At 47.9% G+C, this 24,854-nt stretch overlaps 2 protein-coding genes across 18 annotated transcripts in view, besides 4 other annotated features; both read right to left on the reverse strand.

Annotated features, from left to right (window-relative positions):
* The window catches only part of ABCC12 (ATP binding cassette subfamily C member 12), a 75,112-nt gene extending 73,860 nt beyond the window's left edge, over positions 1–1,252 (reverse strand). For all 4 annotated transcript variants that reach the window (NR_171628.1, NM_001393797.1, NM_033226.3 and 1 more), the window contains exon 1: positions 1,100–1,252. The gene's annotated coding sequence lies outside the window, so the exon portion shown is untranslated. The remainder of the gene's footprint in view (positions 1–1,099) is intronic.
* Positions 3,236–4,435: an enhancer, noted in NCBI's record as "P300/CBP strongly-dependent group 1 enhancer chr16:48191888-48193087 (GRCh37/hg19 assembly coordinates)". NCBI's record gives its function as "activates an origin of replication core promoter dependent on BRD2, BRD4, P300/CBP, MED14 and CDK7 cofactors, with strong dependence on P300/CBP, by STARR-seq in HCT116 cells {active_cell/tissue: HCT116}" and the evidence as "EXISTENCE:reporter gene assay evidence [ECO:0000049][PMID:35650434]".
* Positions 10,078–24,854, reverse strand: part of ABCC11 (ATP binding cassette subfamily C member 11) — an 82,721-nt gene continuing 67,944 nt past the window's right edge. For 12 of the 14 annotated variants that reach the window (XM_017023798.3, XM_017023797.3, XM_017023801.3 and 9 more), the window contains 7 exons: positions 23,856–23,945; positions 22,183–22,372; positions 20,517–20,676; positions 16,148–16,226; positions 15,364–15,477; positions 12,755–12,919; positions 11,032–12,625 (listed from right to left, as the gene is read on the reverse strand). In XM_017023798.3, the coding sequence (XP_016879287.1) occupies positions 12,533–12,625; positions 12,755–12,919; positions 15,364–15,477; positions 16,148–16,226; positions 20,517–20,676; positions 22,183–22,372; positions 23,856–23,945 (891 nt within the window). In that variant the 3' untranslated portion in view covers positions 11,032–12,532. Of the gene's footprint in view, positions 10,417–10,951; positions 12,626–12,754; positions 12,920–15,363; positions 15,478–16,147; positions 16,227–20,516; positions 20,677–22,182; positions 22,373–23,855; positions 23,946–24,854 lie in introns of those variants that run through there. The other 2 variants (XR_007064925.1, NM_145186.3) reach the window with 2 other exon arrangements.
* Positions 10,279–10,780: an enhancer, noted in NCBI's record as "H3K27ac hESC enhancer chr16:48198931-48199432 (GRCh37/hg19 assembly coordinates)". NCBI's record gives its function as "activates a minimal SCP1, AML or CMV promoter by ChIP-STARR-seq in naive and primed H9 embryonic stem cells {active_cell/tissue: H9 hESC(naive and primed)}" and the evidence as "EXISTENCE:reporter gene assay evidence [ECO:0000049][PMID:30033119]".
* Positions 10,781–11,280: an enhancer, noted in NCBI's record as "H3K27ac hESC enhancer chr16:48199433-48199932 (GRCh37/hg19 assembly coordinates)". NCBI's record gives its function as "activates a minimal SCP1, AML or CMV promoter by ChIP-STARR-seq in naive H9 embryonic stem cells {active_cell/tissue: H9 hESC(naive)}" and the evidence as "EXISTENCE:reporter gene assay evidence [ECO:0000049][PMID:30033119]".
* Positions 11,438–11,607: a silencer, noted in NCBI's record as "silent region_7452". NCBI's record gives its function as "represses an Ori minimal core promoter by ATAC-STARR-seq in GM12878 lymphoblastoid cells {active_cell/tissue: GM12878}" and the evidence as "EXISTENCE:reporter gene assay evidence [ECO:0000049][PMID:35858748]".

Genomic DNA, 24,854 nt, shown 5'->3' on the forward strand with positions numbered 1-24,854 from the left:
TTAACAACTTTATGTTTGAGAACTGGACTCTGGGTCTTCCTTGGTGCTCATGATGGGAGTTCCTCCATCAACCAAAAGCAGGCACACCTTTAGTCATAAAATTTTTCCCAGGTATGAGACTACAGCCCTACTTCTTTCTTAATAAATCCATTGTTAATTTAAAGCCACCAAAGTTATCAATATCTGATGGTCTCCCCCAACTCCCACAGCCCCTTCCTCCAGGGCCTGACTGGCCTCCAGCACAGAGGAGACACTGGGGAGCTCTCCCAGGCCCTGCCTGCACCGCACCTCTCCTGTCTGTCCCCAGGTCCCAGGCACCTGTGGCAGCCAGATCAGAAAGCCCTGTGAGTGATGAGGGACTGGGGTTGGGAGGCAGGGAGAGGCAGAGAGGTGGCAGAGGGAAGTGCATGCAGGGGACAGCACCAAGCTGGGGGTGTGGGAAGGGAAGTGGGGGTGCTTTTGCTCAAGTACCCTCATCTCCCAGAAGGCCTAAAACAGTGGCCAGTGATGGCATCTCCAAAAGAGGTCATCCATCCAGTTACAGACACATTCCGACACGATCAAAGAAGGATGCAGAGCCTGGATTCAGAGCAATTCAAATCTACCCTCCCAGGAAAATAATATATTTAAAAGTTAAAAAAAAAAAAAAAAGAAAGAAAGATGAAAACCTCATATGAGAACTGCAGTAAAGCTTTCCAGGTCTTTTTTTTTGGGGGGGAGGTATAAATCCCATAATTAAATTGTGAACACTACCCTGTATATGTGTTTGTGTTTGTGCATGTGTGGGAAAAGACTTAAAATATTCAATGTAGGCTTTTGTATTTCAGAGATTTTGAAATCGCGTCTTGGCATTTCTGCCTTTTCTTTTATGATAGCGGGGGCTCCAAAAGTGGAAGAGGGGCTGCCTTTCTTCTGGGAGCCTCGTCCCTGCTGCCTCCCACTTGGGCAGCCCCATTCAGTGGTGTCACCTCCCCCAAACCCCCCACCACACACACACACAGCCTGTCCTGAGGATGAGAAACAAAGGCCCTTGGGACTAAATGGTGGCCACTAATTGTTACAGGGAGAAGCTTTACCTGGGCTGGAAATGAAGCTTTACCTGGGCTGAGGATGAGAGGGAGGGGAGGAGGGTCAGCAGTCATGGGGCTCAGAGCCTGGCATCTGCTGCCCAGGACTCCAGGGCCTGCTTCTCCCCAAGGACCTCAGATTCAGTTTCTCTTGTCCCACCCGCCTGAAGTCCTCCTCTCCAACTGCCCCATTCAACTGCCACTCCCACCACACCTGAGAGGGAACTCTGGCGGGCCAACATTCCCTCTGCCCACATTAAAGGGCTCTCCCCTCTTCCAGGATGGCCTGTGGCCGGGTCTGGCTCTTTGGTGACAGTCAGAGCCCATGCATGAAAGCACTGTGCATGGCCAGCCCTTCCCTGGCTGTCACAGCACATCCTTGTAGAAGAGAAGGAGAAAAATCCTCTCTCCAACCGTCATTCTACAGACGAGAAGCCCAAGGAACAGAAGCCTGTCCACGACTGGCGTGGGGCTGAGACCAGCACCCAGGTCCCCTGAGTCCCACTCCAGGCTCCTTCCTGAGAGAATGCATCGAATTTTCTACGCTGTGTTCCTGCAACCGGGAATCAACTTTGGGATCAGGGGAAGGGAAGGGAGGGGAGGGGAGGGCAGGGGTAGGGGAGGGCAGGGGTAGGGGAGGGCAGGGGAGGCGAGGGGAGGGGAGATGAGCCTCATCTTCAAAACAGAAAATCTCATTCATTCATTCCCCATTCATTTAACGAAAAAGAAAAGGGTAATTTGAGCTCAATTTGTCTTGAAATGAACGGAAGGTAAGTCTGAGACCTGCACTAGCAGCTAGCCCTTGCATAGAAAAGTTCCCCTGTGTCACCCTTGGAACCCTGCACATCCCGAGCGCAAGCGTGATTCCCGGGGTCCCTTCTGCGCCTGTCCCAGAACAAGCGCCCGATTTCAGGGGAGCCCAGCCGAAGGGTTCCACAGCGCTCAGCGAGCCGGCTGGGAGGGAGCAAACTCTCTAACTGCAGAAAAAAACAAATCTTGATTCCGCTTTAAGGGTTATTTAAACATCTTAGAGGACCTTCCCAGCCTCACGCACGTGGATTTCATGAGGAACTTGGCCGCTACCTTCTCCTGTCCTGCGCAATGCCGCCCCCTGCTGGCTGCCTTCCGGCCCCGCCGCTTCCTGGAGATGCGAATTCACCGCCTTTGCCCAACCTGAGTTCCCTTCCTACCTAGAGGGAGGTGGAAATGGAGAGGGGCTGTGGGCAGCTGTGTAGGAAAATGGGTCCTCCCAGGAAGGCTCCCCGGCCTGGGGAGTGAGCTAGACCGACAGCAGTTTCCTTACACGTGTCCAAAGTGTTCCATTTAATTTCCGTCCATTCTTCCCTTCATGAATGCAAATCACTGCTAATAATATCACTCGACATTTCTGGAGCCCTTTGTGTATCGCAAAATTCTTCATCCTCTTTATCACTTGATCTTCGCAACAACCCCGGGGGTCTCATAAACACAGCAAAGACTCGCTTCCACAATCTTCCAAACGGAGTCAAGTGCTGTCAAGTTTATGGAGGAAGAATGCCGATCAGTTTTCCTCTATCTCCATGAAAGGCTGGGCGGAGATGGATTTCCACCCAGACAAACAGTATTGGGCGCTACGCAAGAAGATTGGTGGGCCTAGCCGGAAACAGAGTGGAGAATGATGGAGAGGGACTGTCCGGTCTGTATCCAAGGAAGTCCTTAGGAAAAGACCAGCCAAGCTCCTGTTCCAGGCAGAGCGTGGACTCACCCATAGTCAGGGAACTGAGGCCCATCCTGGGTGTACACACAGCTCGCGGGGGGGCGAGATAATCCACTGGAATACAAAAAGAAAAAAAATAGAAATCCTTTTCATATTTCTCCTCTTCCTTTAAAAATTCTATTTTGGCTGTGTGCAGAGGCTCAGGCCTATAATCCCAGTACTGGGGGGCCAAGGCAGGTGGATCACTTGAGCCCAGGCATTCAAGACAAGCCTAGGCAACATGGTGAAACCCCATCTCTACTGAAAATACAAAAATTAGCTGGGCGTGGTGGCATGTGTCTGTAGTCCTAGCTACTTGCGAGGCTGAGGTGGGAGTATGAATTGAGCCAGGGAAGTCAGGACTGCAGTGAGCTGTGATCGTGCCACTGCATTCAGGCCTGGATGATGAGAGTGACTCTGTCTCAAAAAAAAAAATTGTGTACAGTGATATACATGTGTAGGGGAGAAAAAGTGTGATACTTTTCCTCACCAGTCATGTGGGTCATGGCTGACACTCTTGTAACAAAAGGCAGACTAACAAAAGGAAAGCATAACAATTTTATTTCATCAAAGTTTAATGTGACATGTGAGTCTTCAGAAATGAATACCGAAAGGCTCAGGAAGAACTGTCCATTTTTATGCTTAGACTCAATGAGGAATGGACAGTGGTATAGAAATGCGATTGGACAGAAAGTTCTGATTAACTGTAATGGACCGAGGTGATGGGATGGGGACCCAGCAGGGCCTGTCTGTTCAGATTCTTCTTGGCCTCTCTGCACAGCATTTCTTCTTTCTAGGTATGGGGCACGACCCCTCTGGAATGAGGGTCTTAGGACCTACTCTCAGACAAAGTTGGTCAGAGAATTTCTTTACGGCCAGCTCCTGTGCAGAAGGGTGGAGGAAAGTTTGAGTCATAGTTTTAGGTTCTATCGGTGGCTTTGGGGGAAGAATTTCTATGACTCACCTTGGGGAAGGGGAACTCTGGTTTCTATGACTCACCTCATGGGAGAAGAGGTGCACAAGGGGTGCAGGAGGGCAGGAGAAGGTCAGAGAGAACTTGCTTCTGAGGCTGCTTCTGAGGTCATCCAAACTCCATCAGTTCAAAGTACTCAGCCTGCCAAAGTGCCATACTTTGGGGTATTGTTGTCCGAGCCTCAACACATGTCCACCCTGCACATCCTTGTAAATAACTATACATGCATAAATTAGGGGTCTGTGTGCGCACATACCAGCAGTGGTGCTCCATGGCAAGGGAAAATTGGTGCTTGATGGGAAGGAAATTTTCCCAGCTCTGAGGTTCTGTGGGGTCTCTATTCCAAAGTGAGGTTCTCGCCGGGCATGGTGCTTCACACCTGTAATCCCTGAACTTTGGGAGGCTTGGGCAGGCAGATCACCTGAAGCTAGGAGTTCAAGACCAGCCTGGCCAACATGGTTGAAACTCCATCTCTACTAAAAATACAAAAATTAGCCGGGCATGCTGATGCACACCTGTAGTCCCAGCTACTCGGGAGGCTGAGGCAGGAGAATCGCTTGAACCCTGGAGGCAGAAGTTGCAGTGAGCCGAGATTGTATCATTGCATTCCAGCCTGGGCGACAGAGCAGGACTCTGTCTTAACAATGACAACAAAAAAGTGAGGTTCTGTCTGAAAAAAAAAATAGAGAGAGAGGAGTGGGGAGACAAAGACGGAAAGAGACAGATAAGAGAGAAAGAGCAGAAAGACTTGGCCCAAAGGCCCCAAGAAGTGCTCAGAAATCAGTGTGTGCAGTTACATAGAATCAATAGCTCACAGTGGCTAAGAGTAGAAACTCTGGAATCAGATCTGTCCTCAAAATCTCTAAATTTCAATGTCGTCAACTACAAAATGAAAACACTATCCTGAAAGCATTGTAAATTAACTAAGGATTAAAGTGGATCATGGAAGTGAAGCGCTTAAACACAGTGCCTTAAACAAACACTCAATAAATGGTAGCTATTGTTTGTGAATAAGAATTTTAAAATTAGCAGGATCTCAGCAGGGCGCGGTGGCTCACACCTGTAATCCCAGCACTTTGGGAGGCCGAGGGGGGCAGATCACGAGGTCAGGAGATAGAGACCATCCTGGCTAGCACAGTGAAATCCCATCTCTACTAAAAATACAAAAAAATTAGCCAGGGGTGGTGGCGGGTGCCTGTAGTCCCAGCTACTCGGGAGGCTGAGGCAGGAGAATGGCATGAACCCGGAAGGCGGAGCTTGCAGTGAGCCGAGATCGTGCCCCACTGCACTCCAGCCTGGGCAACAGAGCCAGACTCCGTCTCAAAAAAAAAAAAATTAGCAGAATCTCGCTAGAAGTAAGAATTCTACCTCCTGGGTTGCTATTAGAATCTGTCTAGTAGAAATACACTGATGTCTCTGCTAAAAGAAGGGGTTTGGATTTTTCACTTTATTTGCCTAATGAACTAAGGCGAGCGATATAAAAGGACTGTCAAACAAAGCTGATGTCAAGTGATTTTGGAAAGTAATTGGAATTTGCATGGACTTTTAAAACAGTAAGTGGAAGAAATATATGTAAGTAAAGCAATAATAGGATTCGTGAGCCAGAAATACATGCATGCAACAGTCAGAGAACAAGCCCTCTAATAAAGAACAAAAATATTTCACAGCCAGAAAATGTGGGTGCTGTTCTCAGCTCCACCACTTAACAGCTTAAAGACCTGAGCAAGCCCCTTGGCTCAGAGAGCTGATCCTAGGAGTTAAAACCTGCCCCCAACATGAGAAAGAATTCTCAAAGAATCCATTCTCAGAATCAGGAAAACTATGCTAATTGCAAACAAATGAATTTTCCATTTAAATGGTGGTCATAACAATCTTGTAATAAACCTATTTCTTTCTTTGCATGGGCTGTTAAGGAGTTTAGAGCAAAAACTCAGCCATCTCTAGTAACTGTACACAATCTTATGGCATGCACTTATATGCAATTATATGCGAGGAAGTGCTCTGTTAAGTCTAAATCATGAACACACCCCAGATCAGTGAAGGATATTGATATGTGAGGGGAGAAGGAGGTGGGGAGCATTTCAGTGAATGCCACTGAGAGGGACTGAGACCCTCATATCAGAACAGAAGTTTCCAAATCGGTACGGTTCTCTCTAGAGTACAATGCTACCCATTAAGTATCTGGGAACCAAGGATTTGGCAAGAAACACGCTTATCAAGTCAGCAAAGTGTACTCCTCTTTGCTCTGATGAATCACAGTTTTGCACTAATGCTCCTCAGAGATGCCGCACTGGATGGCAAGCTCTGCGTAAGGGGCTGTCAGGCACTAGAAATAGAACTTCCATGAAGGGGCAGCCTATCTGTCCCCCTGCTCTGAGCAGGCCATGCTGGCTGGTTTGGGGGTGAGGCCTTTATCCCCAGCCCTTACTGCTTGCTTCATCCTTCTCGTTTTCTTCCCTCTCCTGTTTTATTTTATTATTTTATTTTATTTTGGGGATGGAGTTTTTCTCTTGTTGCCCAGGCTGGAGGGCAGTGGCTCGATCTCGGCTCACTGCAACCTCCACCTCCCAGGTTCAAGCAATTCTCCTGCCTCAGCTTCCCTAGTATCTGTGATTACAGGCGCATGCCATCACGCCCGGCTAATTTTTGTATTTTTAGTAGAGATGGCTTTTCACCATGTTGGCCAGGCTGGTCTCGACCTCCTGACCTCAGGTGATCCGCCCACCTTGGCCTCCCAAAGTGCTGGGATTACAGGCATGAGCCACTGCGCCCAGCCCCCTCTCCTGTTTTATATTCGAGTTCTAAACCAGCCTATTAAAAGCCAGTGGTGTGGTTGTGGGCAAGGTATCTCCTCCGCCTGGGACACGAGTTCCCTCTAGAAAATCAAAGAGCTGAGTTAAATGCAGGTTCTTAAATTGTTTGTGTGCCATGGACCTCTTTGGCATTCTAGTATATTCTCAGAAAAAGTATTTCTATGCATGAGATAAAGTACATAGGATTGCAAAGATAACCAATTATGCAGAATGTGCTTATGATAATATGTATAAAACACAGCTGAATACTGTAAGGTATATGCTTCTATATTGATGCACTAAGTAATGTGATCTAGCAGAAGTTCTAATGACTATTATAATTTCAAAGCATTGATGCATGTAAGTGATATTTTGAGACATCTGAAACAATTGAAATGAGATTTGAGAATACCGCTGATTTCTATTGGTAACAAAGTCACAGATACTGCTAATACTATCTATTTGTTGCCCCATCAAGGAAAACACCAAATTTCAGTTTGTAAAAATAAAGATGTCATTTTTTTCCCATCCAAATTCATAGATGCCCTGAATCTAGCTAAGAGGTCCATGGACCACAGGCTAAGAACAGCTGGACTGACGACTTCTAAAATTGCTTCTGACTCTGAAGCAGTTGGATTCCACAGAATTTTCTAAATGATGCCGGGGGACAGATTAGGGGACATTTAGGATAATGGGGTGAAATTTTACAATCTTAACAGCTGGCACCAGAGTGAATCAGAGGGTGGGAACCGTTTTTGTTTAGCAACTGCCTTGATCTGTCTCTTGGGGCAGTCAGAGACACCCTAATGACTTGCTTGGCAGGAAAGGGCACCAGAAGGGAGAACTAAACTGCTCTGCATAAAATGTGTCCAAGAATTGGGAGGCGGGGGCAGGGAGAACACAGACAGTAATTAGAGAACCAGAGAGGAAACCAGAGCCAGAGTGGGTAGAATGGTGAGGGACTCCTTAAGAAAGCACATGGTTGATATTCAATTGGAAGTTGTTGACTTGCTGTCAACAATTCTTTTGACCCCACCCTTCATTCAAGTGGTCTACACATACAAAGGAAATAAGGAGAAGTGCTGAATTCTCCTGCTAGATGAATGCAGTGGAGCAAAGGAGAGGATGGATGGCCTAGCGGGATGCTCAGGAAGGCAGAGTTAAAAGAGGTCATGCAAATCAAAGTGCCCGGAAGCACAGGAACTTTGGGAAGCACATTCACATGGGGGCCTGGACCCTTCCTGTCTAGATCATATGGGACACGTGCTCTCAGCTAACCTCTGTGTTCTCAGAGCACGGGCCAGAGACCAGCAGTATCAGCAACATCTGAGCCTTGTTAGAAGGGCAAATTCTTAAGCCCAACCCCAGACCTACTGGATGGAACTATATGAGGTTGGGGTCCAGCAATCTGTGTCTTGCCCTCCAGGCAATTTGGATACTCAAGTTCAAGTTTGAAAACTTCTGCTGTCAGGCGTTATTATTTCCATTATTGCATTCCAGTGTCCCAGTCCACAGAGAGGTGTATGCAGAATTTCTCCCAGCACTCAGCCTTGGGGGACCCGCTCCCAGCCTGGGGATAAGAACACTGCCCCTCACCTTGCACTGGAGAGAGCTTTCCAGAGCCAGAAAATGCTCCCAGCCACGGTGAGCTCCCTGCCCCTCCAGGCAGCCACTCCCTCCTGGGACCTTTCCAGTGACCCAAAGGTCCATGCCTTCTAGGCTGGGGCTGCCCTCTGGAGCCACTTTTCTGAAAGAAGCCCTTCCGGACCGGAAAGACTGAAGTCTGAGTCTTCCCCTCTTTCTGCTGGTGCCTTGCACAGCATGGTGCTCTGGCCACCATAGAGGTTGGTCTCTGAAGACTGCTCATTTACCAGTTTCTCTTACGATATTGTCCAGGGCTGCAGACAGAGGGCAGGGCAGGCAGGGCCAGCGTGACTGTGGCCTCCTTTGCTCTGCACATCAGTTGCTGTCATTGTGGACCACACTGTTACAGGAAAGGAGCTCCAATCCAGACACCAAGAGAGGGCTCTCGGATCTCACGCAAGAATGAATTCAGGGCGAATCCATAGAGTAAAGTGAAAGGAAGTTTATTAAGCAAGTAAAGGGGCCTGGCACGGTGGCTCACGCCTGTAATCCCAGCACTTTGGGAGGTGGAAGCGGGCGGATCACGAGGTCAGGAGAGCAAGACCATCCTGGCCTAACATGGTGAAACCCCGTCTCTACTATAATACAAAAAATTAGCTGGGCGTGGTGGCGGGCGCCTGTAGTCCCAGCTAGTTGGGAGGCTGAGTCAGGGGAGCCGCTTAAACCAGGGGGGCGGGAGCGCGGAGGTTGCAGTGAGACAAGATCGCGCCACTGCACTCCAGCCTGGTGACAGAGCAAGACTCCGTCTCAAAACAAAAAAACAAGTGAAGAAATAAAAGAATGGCTACTCCATAGAGCAGCCCCGAGGGCTGCTGGTTGTCCACTTTTATGGTTATTTCTTGATGATATGCTAAACAAGGGGTGGATTATTCATGCCTCCCCTTTTTAGACCATATAGGATAACTTCCTGACGTTGCCATGGCATTTGTAAACTGTCATGGCGCTGGTGGGAGTGGAGCAGCGAGGACAACCAGAGGTCCCTCTCTTCACCATTTTGGTTTTGGTGGGTTTTGGCCGGCTTCTTTACTGCATCCTTTTTTATCAGCAAGGTCTTTATGACCTGTATCTTGTGCCAACCTCCTATCTCATCCTGTGGCTTAGAATGCCCTAACCATCTGGGAATGCAGCCCCGTAGGTCTCAGCCTTATTTTACCCAGCCCCTATTCAAGATGGAGTTGATCTGGTTCAAATGCCTCTGACAACATCACCCCAACTCATGCCTCTAGAACCTCTAAAAAAATTCCATGACCTCCTCTCCGCCAGTATGGAATTGAAAATAAAAATAATAACAAACCATCAAATAAATATAACAAAGCACAGCAAAGCCCTGCATTCTCTCATTATAATTATTTTAGTATTATTTTTGAAAGACCAAATACCAATTTTTAAATGTTTATCATAAAACATTTCTGAAACCTGAAAAGGTGAAAAGAATTATTAAAAATCAAAGCCTCATACACTCACCACTCAGCTTAAGGAATAAAATATTACAATATTGGCTGGGCGTGGTGGCTCACAGCTATAATCCCAACAGTTTGGGAGGCGGAGGCGGGTAGATCACCTGAGGTCAGGAGTTCAAGACCAGCCTGGCCAGCTTGGCAAAACCCCGTCTCTACTAAAAATACAAAAATTAGCCAGGTGTGGTGGCAGGCACCTATAATTCCAGCTACTCAGGAGGCTGAGGTAGGAGAATCGCTGGAACCAGGTGGCAGTGAGCAGAGATCGCGCCACTGCACTCCAGCCTTCACAACAAGGTGAAACTCCGTTTCCCTCCCTCCCTCCCTCCCTCCCTCCCTCTCTCTCTCTCTCTCTCCATATATATATATATATATGTAAAATCAATGTTGTTTAAAAAAACTAATGGTATTTTTCAAAAAATTCTGCTTTATTACTGCTCGGAGCCAATGGTTCTCACATTTTGCTGCTGGAGGTGGGGACGGGGGCAGATGGGATGGGGCTCTGCACACTGAGTGGAAATGGGCTCTATTTCCTGTCCTCTGACTCCAGGGGTCAACACTTTTGTGGCGAATTATCTCCGGGGATCCGGCCAGCTCAGAAGCCCAGTGGGGCCATCACCGCATTTTTGGGACGAGGCTGCCATCTGCTGGTCGCTCAAGGAAAAGACGGCAGCTGCATCTGGCCTGGGGAGGGCCAGTGTGTAGAGAGCTCCCTCACCCGTGATGAGGGCAGTGTCCCACAGCAGTTCTGGGAATGGGGAAGCAGAGGAAGGAGAGTCACCCTCAATGGGCAGATGAGCAGCTGAACTGTGATGGGATGGTAGCATATGGGGTTCCCAGGGACACTTCAGGGCCCAAAAAAGAAAAAAGCCAGGACTGAGGGGAAGGGAATAACAGAGCAAAGGTTTTTTAAGAAAGATAAACCCCCTAGAAGGAGAAGCAGGTGCCACTAGAGAGTCCCAAATGGGGAACAGAAGGTTCGCGCTCCAGGGCACCGGACTTCTCCTGTTCCGTCCAAGGATTGCATCAGCCCCTGTAGTAGCTCATTCCCGCAGGGATTTGTTTGCTGTTCTCTCTGCCTTGAACATTCTTTCCTGCCCCAGTCCCCTTCCTTGGAGTAAATGTTTGTTCAGTGCTCAGGTCTCAGTAAACTGTGCCCACACTGCCTCCAGGAAGTCCCCGGGGGCTGCCTTTTCCTCTGCATCCTGTTCCTGCTTCTAGCCTCAGGTAGCCCTGTTCTGGATCGGCCTGTTTACTTGTTTACAGTTTTACTGTTTACTTACCCTCACGAGATTCCAAATTCCCTGAGGGCAGGGACACCATTTCATCCCCAGCACCAGTGCAGGCAAGAGAGTGAGAAATATTGGTTTACTAAATTGATTTTTTATGGCATTTTTTGAAAATCAGACATCATAATCTGGAATAAAAAGGAAAGTACTTTGAAACATATTTCCCCCAACAACAAGGTCTCCCCAGAAGTAAGTTGAAAATGATTGCCTTTTCTATTTGTCTGTAACCACATGTGGAGGGTGGGGGAGTGAGAACAAGAAAGAGAGAAAACAAATTATTTTATTTTCAGTTGTCATACGTTGTAAGTTATGCTGCTCTTCAGTAAACAATCATAGTAGACAGCTGCTATCTGGGGCCTGGCCAGCATCCATATCCATTCTTCCCTCAGGCACAATTTTACTTTGGTGAAACAACCTCTTCTATTCTCAGTCTACATGATCTAGGGCAGCAAATCCCATCCCCAGGCCCAAATATGGGCATGTGGCTCAGGCCTGGCAAATCACAGTATGCCAACAGCCTAGCACATGATTGATCAGGAACAAGCACATGACCCAAGCTGGCCCAGTGAGATTTCACCCTGGAATCATTGAGGCAAGAAGACCTGGGGGGTGCAGAGTGTGTAGGACGTGAACCTGGAGCTGCAGGCAACCATATTGCCACCATGAGGCAAGAGGAAGTTAGAAAGTGAAGCCAAACAAAGGAAAGCAGAGCTAGGAGAAGAGAAACAGAGACCTCAAAACAGGCATCCTTTCATTCCGGCACCCAACCTTGAACTTTTTCTGTATCTTTCTGTTACAAGACCAACAAACTCTTTTTTTTTTCCAAAGTTAGTTTGAGGGAGTCTCTGTTCCTTGCAACTGAATAAGTACTAGCTAACGTAAAAAGCAGAATGAAGATGGCTGGGTGCAGTGGTTCATGCCCATAACCTCAGCACTTTGGGAGGCCAAGGCAAGCGGATCACTTGAGATCAGCCTGGCCAACATGGTGAAACCCCGCCTCTACTAAAAATACAAAAATTAGCCAGTCATGGTGGCACATGCTTGTAATCCTAGCTATTCAGGAGGCTGAGGCAGGAGAATTGCTTGAACCTGGGAGGCAGAGGCTACAGTGAGCTGAGATTGCGCCACTGCGCTCCAGCCTGGGCAACAGAGCAAGACCCTGTCTAAAAAAACAAAAAGAAAAGAAACGAAAGGAAGCAGAACAAAGAAAGTGAGTTTTCCTTAGTTTTATATTTTACAAAGTCAGTACAGCATTTGCAACACTTCTAACACAGATCAGAAAACTATAAGCTTTTACCTTATTATAAAATTATTCAGCATGTAAGTTAAAAGGAGAACCACATGATCACTGAATCCCATGTCTTAGATGGTTCTGGGGTTCTAAGGTCTTGAGAGCCATCAAGTAGCCTATTCCAGGGTTTCCATCCAGCAATCCCCACCCCCCCTACATTTACCCCTGCTTCCAGGAGAAGTTCTCATCTCCAAACAAGAAGGTCGCAGACTGTGGGCCTCGAAGCTGCACCTGTGTGAACCTCTGAGCTCAGCTGCCAGCCTCCATGAAGTCTCCACATCTCCTTATCTCAGTGAAGAAGTGGCTGTGGCCATGAGGGCTGCGAACAATGACCCAGGCTTCTTCCGCAGTACCTCCGGCCGATCAAATTCTACCACCTGGAGGGTAGAGAAAGGCGAGGGGAGGATCAGGGCACAGCTGAGCTTGTGTCCTTGGAGGACTCAAAGGCATCTGGGGTAGCAGCCTGAGCCCTCATCCTCCCACCAGCCCAAGGACGCAGCCTTCACCTTCCCATTGCCCATAACCAGGATGTGGTCACAGTTCAGCACAGTGGTGACACGGTGGGCAATGACGAGCACGGTGCAGCCCTGGAAGGCTTCACGGATTGTGCGCTGGATCAGGGTGTCTGTCTCCATGTCAATGGAGGCTGTGGCTTCATCGATAAGGATGATCTGATGAATACAAAACAGGGGTGAAGGTGTCTACTTCAGGCCCTAGAGACCTGGGTCTAGCCCTGGTTTACCACTAATTCACCAGGGCCCTTCCTCTCCAGGTCTCCATTTCTTTAGCTGGGAAATGGGAGAATTATGCCGAGTGCAAAGCCCGCTCTGATTGCTGATTATCCATTACCTTATGAAGAGAACGTTAGGTCTCAACCAGGAGCTAACTGCATTTTAGTGGCCAGAGAATTAAGTTCTTGGAAATGAAAATGGCCTAGTGGCAACTTCTTGTTTTATTAACTACTTTCCCATTTACCGAAACTAAAGTAGAGCGGTGTTCTCCAAGAAGGGGCAGGCACACACCCCAGGAGGCACATGAGATGATTTCTCCAGCATATGGATAAACATTCTTTTTAGTTTAACATTTTTGTATTTATTTCATTAACGATATGCATGAGGAAACTGTAACTCACACTGAAAGTGTGATTTCACAAATGGCACTGCTTGGGATGAGGCTGTTTTTGAAAAGGGAGTATCATTAGTAAATCACAGGGTAGGTGGTACCCAGAGATGACAAAAATCATAAAGTAATGACTCAAATTTGGGAAGCAATACAGAGGAAGCCATTGCAGCACCAAATGGCTATGTAATTGAAATAAGGAAGTGTGAAGAAAGTACTACATGTACTTTGCAAATTTGTTGTTCATCTCTCCAAAGAAGAGGGGGAAAGTCCTACCTCCTCTGAAATTTTCCCAGGCTTTGGGCCCCACTGAGCTCTTTTCCCACAGCTCTGACAGTTTGCACCAACAGTTTTTGCATTTATCATTAATTAACCATGATACATGTGTGTGAGCATGCATACATGTGTGAGTATGGAGAAGGTATGTGCATATGCATGCATAAGTATGTGTGTACATGTGTGTCTTGCCTCGCCTACGTAGGAGAAGGTTTGCCCCAGGCTATCTCACATACTCAAACACCTGAAATTATGGACAAAATATCTAGAAAGCTTCTGGAAGCCCTGTTCCGCCAAATTTTTAAAAATATGCAATTTTGCAGCCATAAAAAAGAATGAGTTAATGTCCTTTGCAGGGACATGGATGAAGCTGGAAGTCATCATTCTCAGCAAACTAACACAGGAACAGAAAACCAAACACTGCATGTTCTCATTCACAAGTGGGAGTTGAACAATGAGAACACATGGACACAGGGAGGGGAACATCACACACCAGGGCCTGTCAGGTGGTGGGGGGCAAGGAAAGGGAGAGCATTAGGACAAATGCTTAATGCATGTGGGTCTTAAAACCTAGATGATGGGTTGATGGGTGCAGCAAACCACCATGGCACATGTGTACCTATGCAACAAACCTGCACGTTCTGCACATGTATCCCAGAACTTAAAGTAAATTTAAAAAATATATATATATGCAATTTTGCCCTGGATCAGCATCTGTCATCCAATTCCCAGTTCTAATAAAGATAAAAGGGATGTACTGCATCCAAGTTTTTAAAACAGTATACAGTAGGCAATTTAAAAATCAACGAGGGTCTAATGTGTTGTGTTTTTCTGAGAAAAGAGGATCATCATTTGGTCTAGTTGGAGACATTTCAGCTCAGGTGTAAGGAATCCGCTATCAGGCAGCCTAGGCTGTGAATCTCATCTACCATGCCTCACCCACACCACAAATGCATGTGGAATGGCACTCAGTGAAATGAATAAGCCCATCTTGAATTAATTTTTGTAGAAGGTGTAAGGAAGGGATCCAGTTTCAGCTTTCCACATATGGCTAGCCAGTTTTCCCAGCACCATTTATTAAATAGGGAATCCTTTCCCCATTTCTTGTTTTTGTCAGGTTTGTCAAAGATCAGATGGTTGTAGATGTGTGGAAATAATTAAGAAAATATGGCACATATACACCATGGAATACTATGCAGCCGTAAAAAAGGATGAGTTCATGTCCTTTGTAGGGACATGGATGAAGCTGGAAACCATCACTCTCAGCAAACTATTGCAAGGACAAAAAACCAAACACTGCATGTTCTCACTCATGGGTGGGAATTGAACAATGAGAACACTTGGACACAGGGTGGGGAACATCACACACTGGGGCCTGTCGTGGGGTGGGGGGAGGGGGGAGGGATAGCATTAGGAGATATACCTAATGTAAATGACGAGTTAACGGGTGCAGCACACCAACATGGCACATGTATACATATGTAACAAACCTGCACGTTGTGCACATGTACCCTAGAACTTAAAGTATAATAATAAAAAAAAGGAAATGAATAAGCCCTTTGGATTCTGTTGCTGTTGTTGTTGTTGTTGTTGTTGTTGTTAAGACGTACACCACAGAGCCCAGTGTCCCACGGTAGTGAAGGGAGAGGGAGCCGGTGTGGCTTCCCTCATCATGCGTAGTCTGTGGCTTCCCCTGGCCACACGGCAGTGGTGGCCTCACCTTGGAGTTGCGAAGCACAGCCCTGGCAATGCAGAGCAGCTGCCTCTCCCCCACAGAGAAGTTTCCACCGTTTTCCACCACATCTGTATGCAGCTTTTTGGGGAACTTTGAGATCTGCGATATGGGAAGAAGAGACAACATAACCTGGAAGCCACTGTGGGGTGAGACCCAACCTGACCTTGTCAATCTTCCGCTGTATTGGCAACACTGCCCTCCTCTCTCTACGCTCCAGCCTCTGTTTTCTTGCTCCTTAACTGCGCCTTGCTCACTCTCGTCTCTGGGCCTTTGCATACGCTAGCTCCTGTGCCCAGAATGTCCTCTCAAAAGATCTTTCATCGGCTGCCCCTCAGTTCTTGGTCTCAGCTCAGCTGCCACCTGTTTAAAGAGACCTTGCCTGGCCACCCAATTGAAAAGAGCTGCTCCTGCCCTGACGTTTCTATGGGTCTCATGACTACCTATACAGCCCTTACCAGTATCTGAAAGTATCTCCTGCATTTACTTGTTGCCTTTATCTCCTATTGAATGTACGTACCAGGAGGACAAAGACCTCATCTGCCTTGTCTTTGCTGTGCCCCTGAGCCTAGAACAGTGTCTGGCACACGGTTGGTGTCTGAGTGCCATCAGCCTTGACTTAGGAATGCCAAGTCATCTCATCTCCATGAGATGATGCATCCATGACCCGAAGCAGCAGCAGCTGGAACACCACATGAGAGGAGCCCCAAAGGGGCAGCCCCCCATGGGCGATGCAGACTTAGACCAAGACTTGGGCCTTGGAGCTACTTACGGCCTTGGTCAGGAATGTCCTCTCCAAGGCATCCCAGATCTGCTGGTCAGTGTGACGGTCAAAGGGATCTAGGTTGAATCTACCATATGAGAGAAAGAGAAGTGTTCAACAACATCACCCAGGCTTTGAACACTCATTTATATGCCCAGTGAATGACCAAGAATGTTTAGAACTGGATTATGGGGTTTAGGGAAATTCATGGAACCACCACAAATGGAGATTTTTTGTGCCTCCCAGCACCTGTTCCTTCTGCAGGCAGCAGGCCCAGGTTTTGTTTAGGGGCCACCTCCTCCCCAGTCCCCCAGCCCATGTGTTCCAGGGCAGGCTCCACCATCCACTCCTGATGGAGCAAAGGGCTCAAGGATAAGCCAATCGACATACAGCAATCCCTGGCCATGGTGCTTAGCTTGGGGTGGGAAAGTAACCAATCAGAGTGTATCTCAGGACTTTTCAGGCTACCATGGGAGACGTGCGGAGAGATTGCAACCATCCTCCCACAGGAGTGGGACACATGGAGCCCCCCAGGGCCCTCATGTGGAGTTCAGAATGAAGCAAGGCAATGCTAGGGGAAAACCGGGCCCTGGAACTCAGCCTTGGCCTCCCCATTATCATGCATGAGTCATTAGAGGCCACTTTTCCTTAAGCCATTTGGGTTTTGTTTTATTGTGTGATAGAAAGTACATAATATTTATCATTTTAACCACTTAAAAGTGTACAATTCAGCAGCATTAAATACATTAATAATGTCATGTAACCATTACCACTATTTATATCGAAACCTTTTTCATCATCCTGCTGGGCATGGTGGTTCACACCTGTAATCCCAGCACTTTGGGAGGCTGAGGTGGGCAGAACACTTGAGGTCAGGAGTTTGAGACCAGCCTGGCCAACATGGTAAAACCCCACTCCACTAAAAATACAAAAATTAGCCAGGCACAGTGATGCAAGCCTGTAGTCCCAGTTACTCAGGAAGCTGAGACAGAAGAATCACTTAAACCCAGGAGGTGGAGGTTGCAGTGAGCTGAGATGGTGTCACTGCACTCTAGCCTGGGTGACAGAGTGAGACTCGGTCTCAGAACAAAACAAAACAAAACAAAACAAAACTTTTTCATTATCCCCAACAAAAACTCTATACCCATTAAACAGTCTCTTCTTCCCCCTCCCCACCAGCCCTTGGTAACTTCTATTCTACTTTCCATCGATATGGATTTGCCTATTCCAGCTACCTCATATAAGTGGACTCATGTAGTATGTGTCCTTCTGTCTGGCATCTTTCACTTCGTGTCCATCCATATTGTAGCATGTAACATTTCCCTTCTTTTTAGAGCTGCATAATATTCCATTGTATGTATATACCACATTTTGTTTTTCCATTCATCTGTTTATAGACGTATGACTTGTTTCCACCTTTTGATTACTGTGAGTAGGGCTGCTCTAAACACTAGTGTACACATATGGGTTGAAGTCTCTGCTTTCAACACTTTGGGATATATAACTAGAAGTGAAATTCCTGGATTACATGGTAATTCTATGTTTAACTTTTTTTTTTTTTTTTTTGAGACAGGGTCTCACTCTGTCTACGAGGCTGGAGTGCAGTGGTGCAAACACAGCTCACTACAGCGTTGACCTCTTGGGCTCAAGCAAGCCTCCCACCTCAGTCTCCTGAGTAGCTGGAATTGCAAGCACAGACCACCATGCCCAGCTAATTTTTGTTTACCTTTTTGAGGAATTGCCAAATTGTTTTCCATGGTCTCTGCACAATTTTACATCCCCACTGGCAATGCATGAGAGTTTCAATTTTTTCACATCCTTGTTAATAATACTTGCTATTTACCTTTTATTATTGTTATAGCCATTCTAGTAGGTGTGAAGTGGTAGCTCATTGTTGGGGGGCTGGACTTTCTGTTTCTTGCAGTGAAAAGAATCCTAACATCCAGGTAACTGACATGAGAGAGGGAATCTATCTGGACTTTACACCCAGCAAGCTTTACACTTGCATCTGGAACAGGCAGCACTATAGACACTTCCCTGCTATGCAGCCATGTAGCCCTGAGTGAAACCTGTCAACCTTGCTTTATCCTTCCCCAGTTGTGCCAGCCACGCATATCTTGTGTGTAGGGCTAATGTGTACTAAAGAAGAGGCAGGTCTTATTTGCATGACATTTGATATCTCCAAAGCACTTTCATAGATGGGTTATTTGACATTTTCTCCTCCATGAGATGGGTATACTCCTTTCTTATCAGTTTTAAATGGCTTGTTCAAGGTCACGCCACAAGCCAGTATGAGAGCCAGGCTGGCATCAAGACATTCAGAGAGATGCTTAAGGGTAGAGCCTTAAGTTCTAAGGTAGGATTTCAAGTCCACATTTCTTTCTACAGAAAGAGGTGGGGGGAAATATCACAAATTATGGGTTTAGAACACCTAGGGTTATATCTCATGTTCGCCATTTCTTTGTGTGTCTTTAAACAAGTCCCCTTCCTCTCTAAGTTCCGTGCCTTCATCTGTAAAATGGGGATAATGAAGGGGCCTCACAGTGTTGCTGGGAGAGTTAAATTAGGCAGTATACTAAAGCATTCAGTTGGCACATATAAATGCTCAATAAATGTTAGTTCATATTTTTACTACTCTTCATATCAACGCACAGGAGATTTGGCCACATTCTACTGTAACATAGAAATCTATCACTAAATGTCTTATCATTCCCCTAACACAACCATTTTTTTGTTGTTTTGTGTGGGGGCGGGGAAGGTTTTGAGACAGAGTTTCCTTCAGTCACCCAGGCTGGAGTGCAGTAGCACGATCTCGGCTCACTGCAACCTCCACCTCCCGGGCTCATGCGATTCACGTGCCTCAGCCTCCCGAGTAGCTGGGATTACAGACATGCACCACCACATCTGGCTAATTTTTGTATTTTTAGCAGAGACAGGGTTTTGTCATGTTGGCCAGGCTGGTCTCAAACTCCTGGCCTCAAGTGATCTCCCTGCCTTGGCCTCCCAAAGTGCTGGGATTACAGGCATGAACTACCATGCCCCACCTCATGACCCAGTCATTTTGAAACCCTGTGTCTGTGCACATATTGTTCCTTCTCCTTGAAAAGAGTTTGTCTCCTATTTCTGCCTGGCAAGCTCCTACTCAGCTTTCAAGACCCTGATCAAATGTCCCCTCCTCTGGGAAGCCTTTCTGGATTCACTCAGGCAGTGACTCATCCCAGTCGTAGCTCCCTTAGCATTTTGTACATATCTCTGATCTAACAATTACCCCTTCATACTGTGATTTATTGGGTCTTACCCCTGTACAAAACCATCTTCCCCACCCACACTGTGAGCTCCTGCTGGGGGAGCAGGGAAAATGTACATTCATTAAACTGGCTCCAGTCCCTAGCACAGTGTCCAGACCAGGCAGAAGCTCAGAAAAGGCAAGTTAAATGAGTGGGAGGATGAATGAAGGAATGAATGAATGAAGCTCTGGGGTTCAGTTTATCCTCCTGGCTCTAAGAATTCTCCTTAAATATCACAAAACATGGGGGGACCTAGCCTGCTTTTTAGTGCATCCATCTTCCTCAGTCCCCATGCCTTGATGTTTCCTCCCAGATAAAGTGCATTGTCAGTAGGAGCCTAATCTGGATAAAGCTTTGTCCCTGAGTTGACTTCTGAGGACACAGAAAGTGTAGTGAAGAGGCTGGAAGATCTGGTTCTGTCTGCTTCACTGACTGGGCTGCCTGGATTTTTCTCACATCACTCCTGTCCAGAATGTGTACCATTGAAGAAGCACTTCCTAAAAACGTCCCCAGGGGCTTTGCCCAGTGCACAGAGAGAATAAGCTACATCTGGACAAGAAAGAATATGGTAGCCTGAGTGCAAATGCTTAATGGTGTAGTGAAATCTGACCAATCCCATCAGGGTTTTGTTTCTGTTTTTTGTTTGTTTGCTTGTTTGTTTGTTTGTTTTTTAATAAGAGTCAGGGTCTTGTTGTGTTGCCCAGGTTGGAGCACAGTGGCTATTCACAGGCACAGTCATAGTGTACTACAGCCCTGAGCTCCTGGGCTCAAGTGATCCTCCTGCCTCAGCCTCCCAAATAGCTCGGACTACGGCTGTGCACCACCATGCCATCCAGTTTCTAAAAAATAAAAATATGTTTTGTTTTTGCGTATAACATTACGGTTTACAAAGTGCTCTTATATATATTGAGGCCTCATTTAATCCTCAACAGTACTTCAGTGAGGTAAGCCAGGTAGGCATGAGTGGCCCAGCAGGCCAAGGAGGCCTGGAAATCGGGGCATTGGTCACCAGCTCACTATAGGCAGCCCGGTGCTGGAATCCTGGTCCTGTGACCCACCTCCTGCAGGCTGCCTGCTGGCCCGGCACTCACCTGATGGTTCCTGAGAGCAGCACTGGATCTTGAGGGATCACTGAGAGCTTGGACCGCAAGTCCTCCAGGCCGATGCTGCAAATGTCCACGCCGTCAATGAGAATCCGGCCTGCCATGGGCTCCACCAGGCGGAAGAGAGCCATGCCCAAGGAGGACTTCCCTGTGGGGCAAGAAACAAGCGGGGCCTCAGTTTCCTGCATCTGCACTAGCGGAAGCACAGATCGCACCTGGCGATCACACCTGACCCGCTGCCCTCCGTGGCCCATTCTTCATCACTGTGAGCCCTGAAGGGGTAGGAGAGGGCTGGCGTCCCTGCTCCAGGTGATACCTAATGCCATGAGCAGCTTGTTACAGCCTAGATCAGAGGGCACACGTGGGGCCCCTGGATCAAAGCCAGCCCGCAGACATGTTTTGTTTCATATACACAATGTTAGGATTATTTTTTAATTCCTTGCCAGCATTTTTAAAAATCCTAGATATAAAAGTTCAAATTGCATGTTTCTCTTGAAATTTAGTAGAATTGGCAACACTGGACCCATATCCCCCCCAGGCAACAGCTCGGCTGGAGCTGAGCGCAGCCACTTGGTTGAGACACAGTGGCATTCTCCAGTCACCACCCGCCCTCCCCCGCCCCCATATATCACACCCACCCATGGCACCTGCCAGGCTCCAAAGCATTGGAGGTTTCAACCCTGTTCTCATAGTTAAGCTCTATAAGGGTAGAAGCTGTGTGTCTTCCTTACCTTTCGGTTCCCAGGCACATAGTAGGTGCTCAGTAAAAACCTACTGAATGAATATAGGCAGTAGGGTCAGAATCTACTGAGAGCTTTTCTCTGCCAGACCCCAGCCCTCTCAGGGTTTCCACCAATCGGCAGGTGGAAAATAGCAAGAGAAGAACACCCAAAAGAACATATGTGGAAGCTCTTCACCCTGCAGTGCAGGAGTGCTGAGGAGACAGACCAGGCAGGCCCTCATTATCCATGGGGCTGCCTGGAGGAGGCAGCTCTGGGGTGCCCAGGAGTGGGGGACTGGGGACAAGAACCAAGTCTTAACAGTAGTTTTTGAACAATGCAAAGAGGCAGAGGGAGGGGGACTTGGGCCAGATCTCCCAGAAGTGACAGGAGAGGAAGACAGGGAGAGAAACTGAGGAGGAGAAAGGAAACTGGGAGAGGAAAGAGGAGGAGACAGAGGCTGGTGAGAGCAGTCCAGGAAGGGGGTGGGGAGGGAGGAAAAGGGGAGTCTGGATTTAACTCCTAGCCTGCTCTTCATCCTGGCAGTGCCCTGCAATGCCCCTCCAAAAGTGCTCCTGCCCGGACCCTATACCCCTCAGCTTAAGCACTGGGCTCAGAACCCAGGTATCCAAGGCCCAGTACCACTAGCCCCATTATTCTGCATACCACCCTGTGGCAGCCACCACAGCCTGCAGCTGTCACATTTCCGTCTTTATTTGCTGGTCTATTTAACATCCGTCTCCTCCACTGGAATCCCATGATCACAGGGACCTTGGGTTTCGCTCACCAGTGTTTGTCTAGCACAGGGCCCAGCACAGCATGAGGACCTAATACATATTTGGGGGATGACTGAGCAAACACATGCCCCTAAATAGGTCTAGTGCCCAAAGGGCAAAGGAGGAGCTGGGGACGCTCGCCCAGGAAGCTCAGCTCACCAGAGCCCGTCCTTCCCACGATGCCCACCACTTCGTGGCCGCGGATGGTCAGGTTGATGCCGTGAAGCACGGTGGGTGTGTTGTCTCTGTATTTCATGTGATAATCCTGAAATATGATTTCCCCATGCTGTGGCCACCCCTGGGGACAACTTGTGCCTTCCATGTGTAAAGGAGCTTCCGAGACACACATCTTGTTTTTGAAGAAAGAAAAAGAAATCAATAGTTATCATCTATCTCGGCCCATCCCCTGCGGGCCTGCCAGCCTCCCGCTGTAGGGGGTGTGACCCACCCCAGCCTGCCTTGCGCCAAGGTCAAGCCCCCTGCTGTGTAATCAGAGGAACATCGCCCGTGCCCCCATCGCCTAAAACATACAAAATTTTCCCCAGAAGAGTGAGAAACCTGCATAGCTAATTCCCTTGTTATTAACATAGAGCAATGTTCCTGATTTACTGTGTGACTTTAAAGAAATAGAATCCAAGGTAATGACAGTAAAGGCAGCAGAGACTCCCCCCTTCGGGGGGGTTCATAGCTCAGAGCCCTTGTGCAGACTTAATCTCTCTCTATCCTCATCCTATGAGACAGGCCTTTTTGGAGGCATTTCCCAGGTGAGGAGATAGAGGATCCAACAACTTAAGATCAACAACTTACTTAACGTAAGTTCCACAACTTACTTAAGATCACACAGTTTCAGGTTGGAACTCAAACCCAGATCTGCCTAACGCCGAGCCCACTCTGCATCAAGTGCAGTTGTGTGTGTTGAGAGGAAAGAACGCTGGAGAAGAAGTTGGATCTGACCACCTGGCTGCAAGCCACAACTCCCCATGCTGGTGCCGTGTCACAGCAGCATCCCTGGGCAGGAAATCAGAGCCCTACAATTCATAAATTCCACTCATGCAAGGGGGCAGGAGACCTGGTTTGTAGAGGGCTCTGCCAGCCCCAGCCTGTGTGATCTTAAGCAAAAGTTCTGCCTGGCCCAACCTCGGTTTCCTTGTCTGAAAAATGTGGATAATCATTCAATCAACCTAATAAAATTGTTCCATGATCCCATGAGATAGTCTAGATAAAGGGCTTAGCACCATGCCTGGCCCACAGAAAGGTCTCAATCACAATAATAAAGAACATGATGGAGCCTCACTATGGGTCAGGCAGTGTGCTATGTGCTTTACATGTTATATCATTTCAACTTTGTGATAATCTGGCAAAGGGACGCTATTGTCTTTCTCATTTCAGAGATGGGGAAAAGAGAGTTTGAATAAGTTGCCCAGGTTATTCCAATGATTCAAATGGTAAAGCTTAGACTTGAACCCAGGAAATCTGGCTACAGAATCTGTGCTCTTAACCACCATGACATAAATGGAAGCAATAATAGGAACAAAGATTGTTGTCATCATTATTATTGCACTGGGCAAACCTCTCATTTCCAAGAGGAGAAGATGATCTCCTCTTCCCCCTAGGAATGCTGTGAGGGATGTGGTCAAAGTGAGCAGACAGGTATGGAAGAGCTTCAGCGAGATGGTCAACAAAAGTCTGGGGAAGACAGGGAGGAAAGGCCAGGAGCCTGGTGTTTCCTGGGATGGTCTCAGGGCTCTGAGGCCAGTGGGGCTTGTAGAGGTCACAGAAGTCATGCCCCAACTTGCATGGCTCCCCACACCAGACCCAGACCTGAACCCCACCTTCATGTACTGCAGTATCCTCTCTACAGCCGTGAACTGTGCCTCTGTCTCCAAGCCAATCCGGGCAGTGGCCTGGAAGCTGGACGCCAGCTAGAAGGAAGGAGAAGTATCGGGGGTCAAGAGGCTGCTGGGGTGTGCTCAGGCTCTTCAACGCTCCTGATAACCACTGATTGCCATTGCCCCTGAGTGACCCCTGAAACTAAGATAATTTTCCTAGCAAGAATGGAGCAGAGGCCCCTGGTGCCTCCTCAGCCCACTTCTGAGTTTAGCTGCAGCTGCGATGGGCAATTCTGGGGGAGAACCTCCCCAGACACTGTTCCACCTCGAGTGCCCTCTGTATGTCTTTCTGCTCAAGACCTCTGCCCACATCACAGCAACCACCTAGCCTGTGCATGAGGACATCCCAGAAACCCAGGAGACTTAAGGTTACTGAGAATGAACTTTGACTGATGGGGAACAAGAGCTAGCAGAGATAAATGCTCCCATCTCCCAGCCTTTGAGGGCATGGTCCTGGAAATACCCCATATGCTTCTCAGGAGATCCCAGGACAGTTGAGCCCTAGTGACATAGAACAGGGACCCCAGTGTCACACTCCCATGATGACTTCCTCCTTCCTCATCTCACTTTTCTGCTCCCTCAATCCTGGTTCCTGGGAGCACTTCCCAAATAAGCTGCCTGCACCCAAGTTCCTTTCTCAGGTCCTGCCTTCAGGGAAACCCAGGCTAGAGGAGTTAGGGACTCTTGGGAATTGGGGGCACCAAAGATAAGGAAACTGAGGCGCCAAAAGAAGAAATTACATCCACAGAAACGTCTAGAAGCTGGAGGCAGAGCTGGGCTTGGGGCCCCGGTCTATAACCTCCATTACCCTGGCCCAAGAAATGGGCAAACAGGACGTGCAGGGGGTGCTGGGTAACACATTAATCATACATTCATTCAACAAACTCTGGTGGATGGCTCTGTGCCAGGTGCTGGACCAGGCTCCATGTCCCAAAGTGCAGC

This window comes from Homo sapiens, chromosome 16 (genome assembly GCF_000001405.40).
Source record: "Homo sapiens chromosome 16, GRCh38.p14 Primary Assembly".
In the NCBI taxonomy this organism is placed as follows: domain Eukaryota; kingdom Metazoa; phylum Chordata; class Mammalia; order Primates; family Hominidae; genus Homo; species Homo sapiens.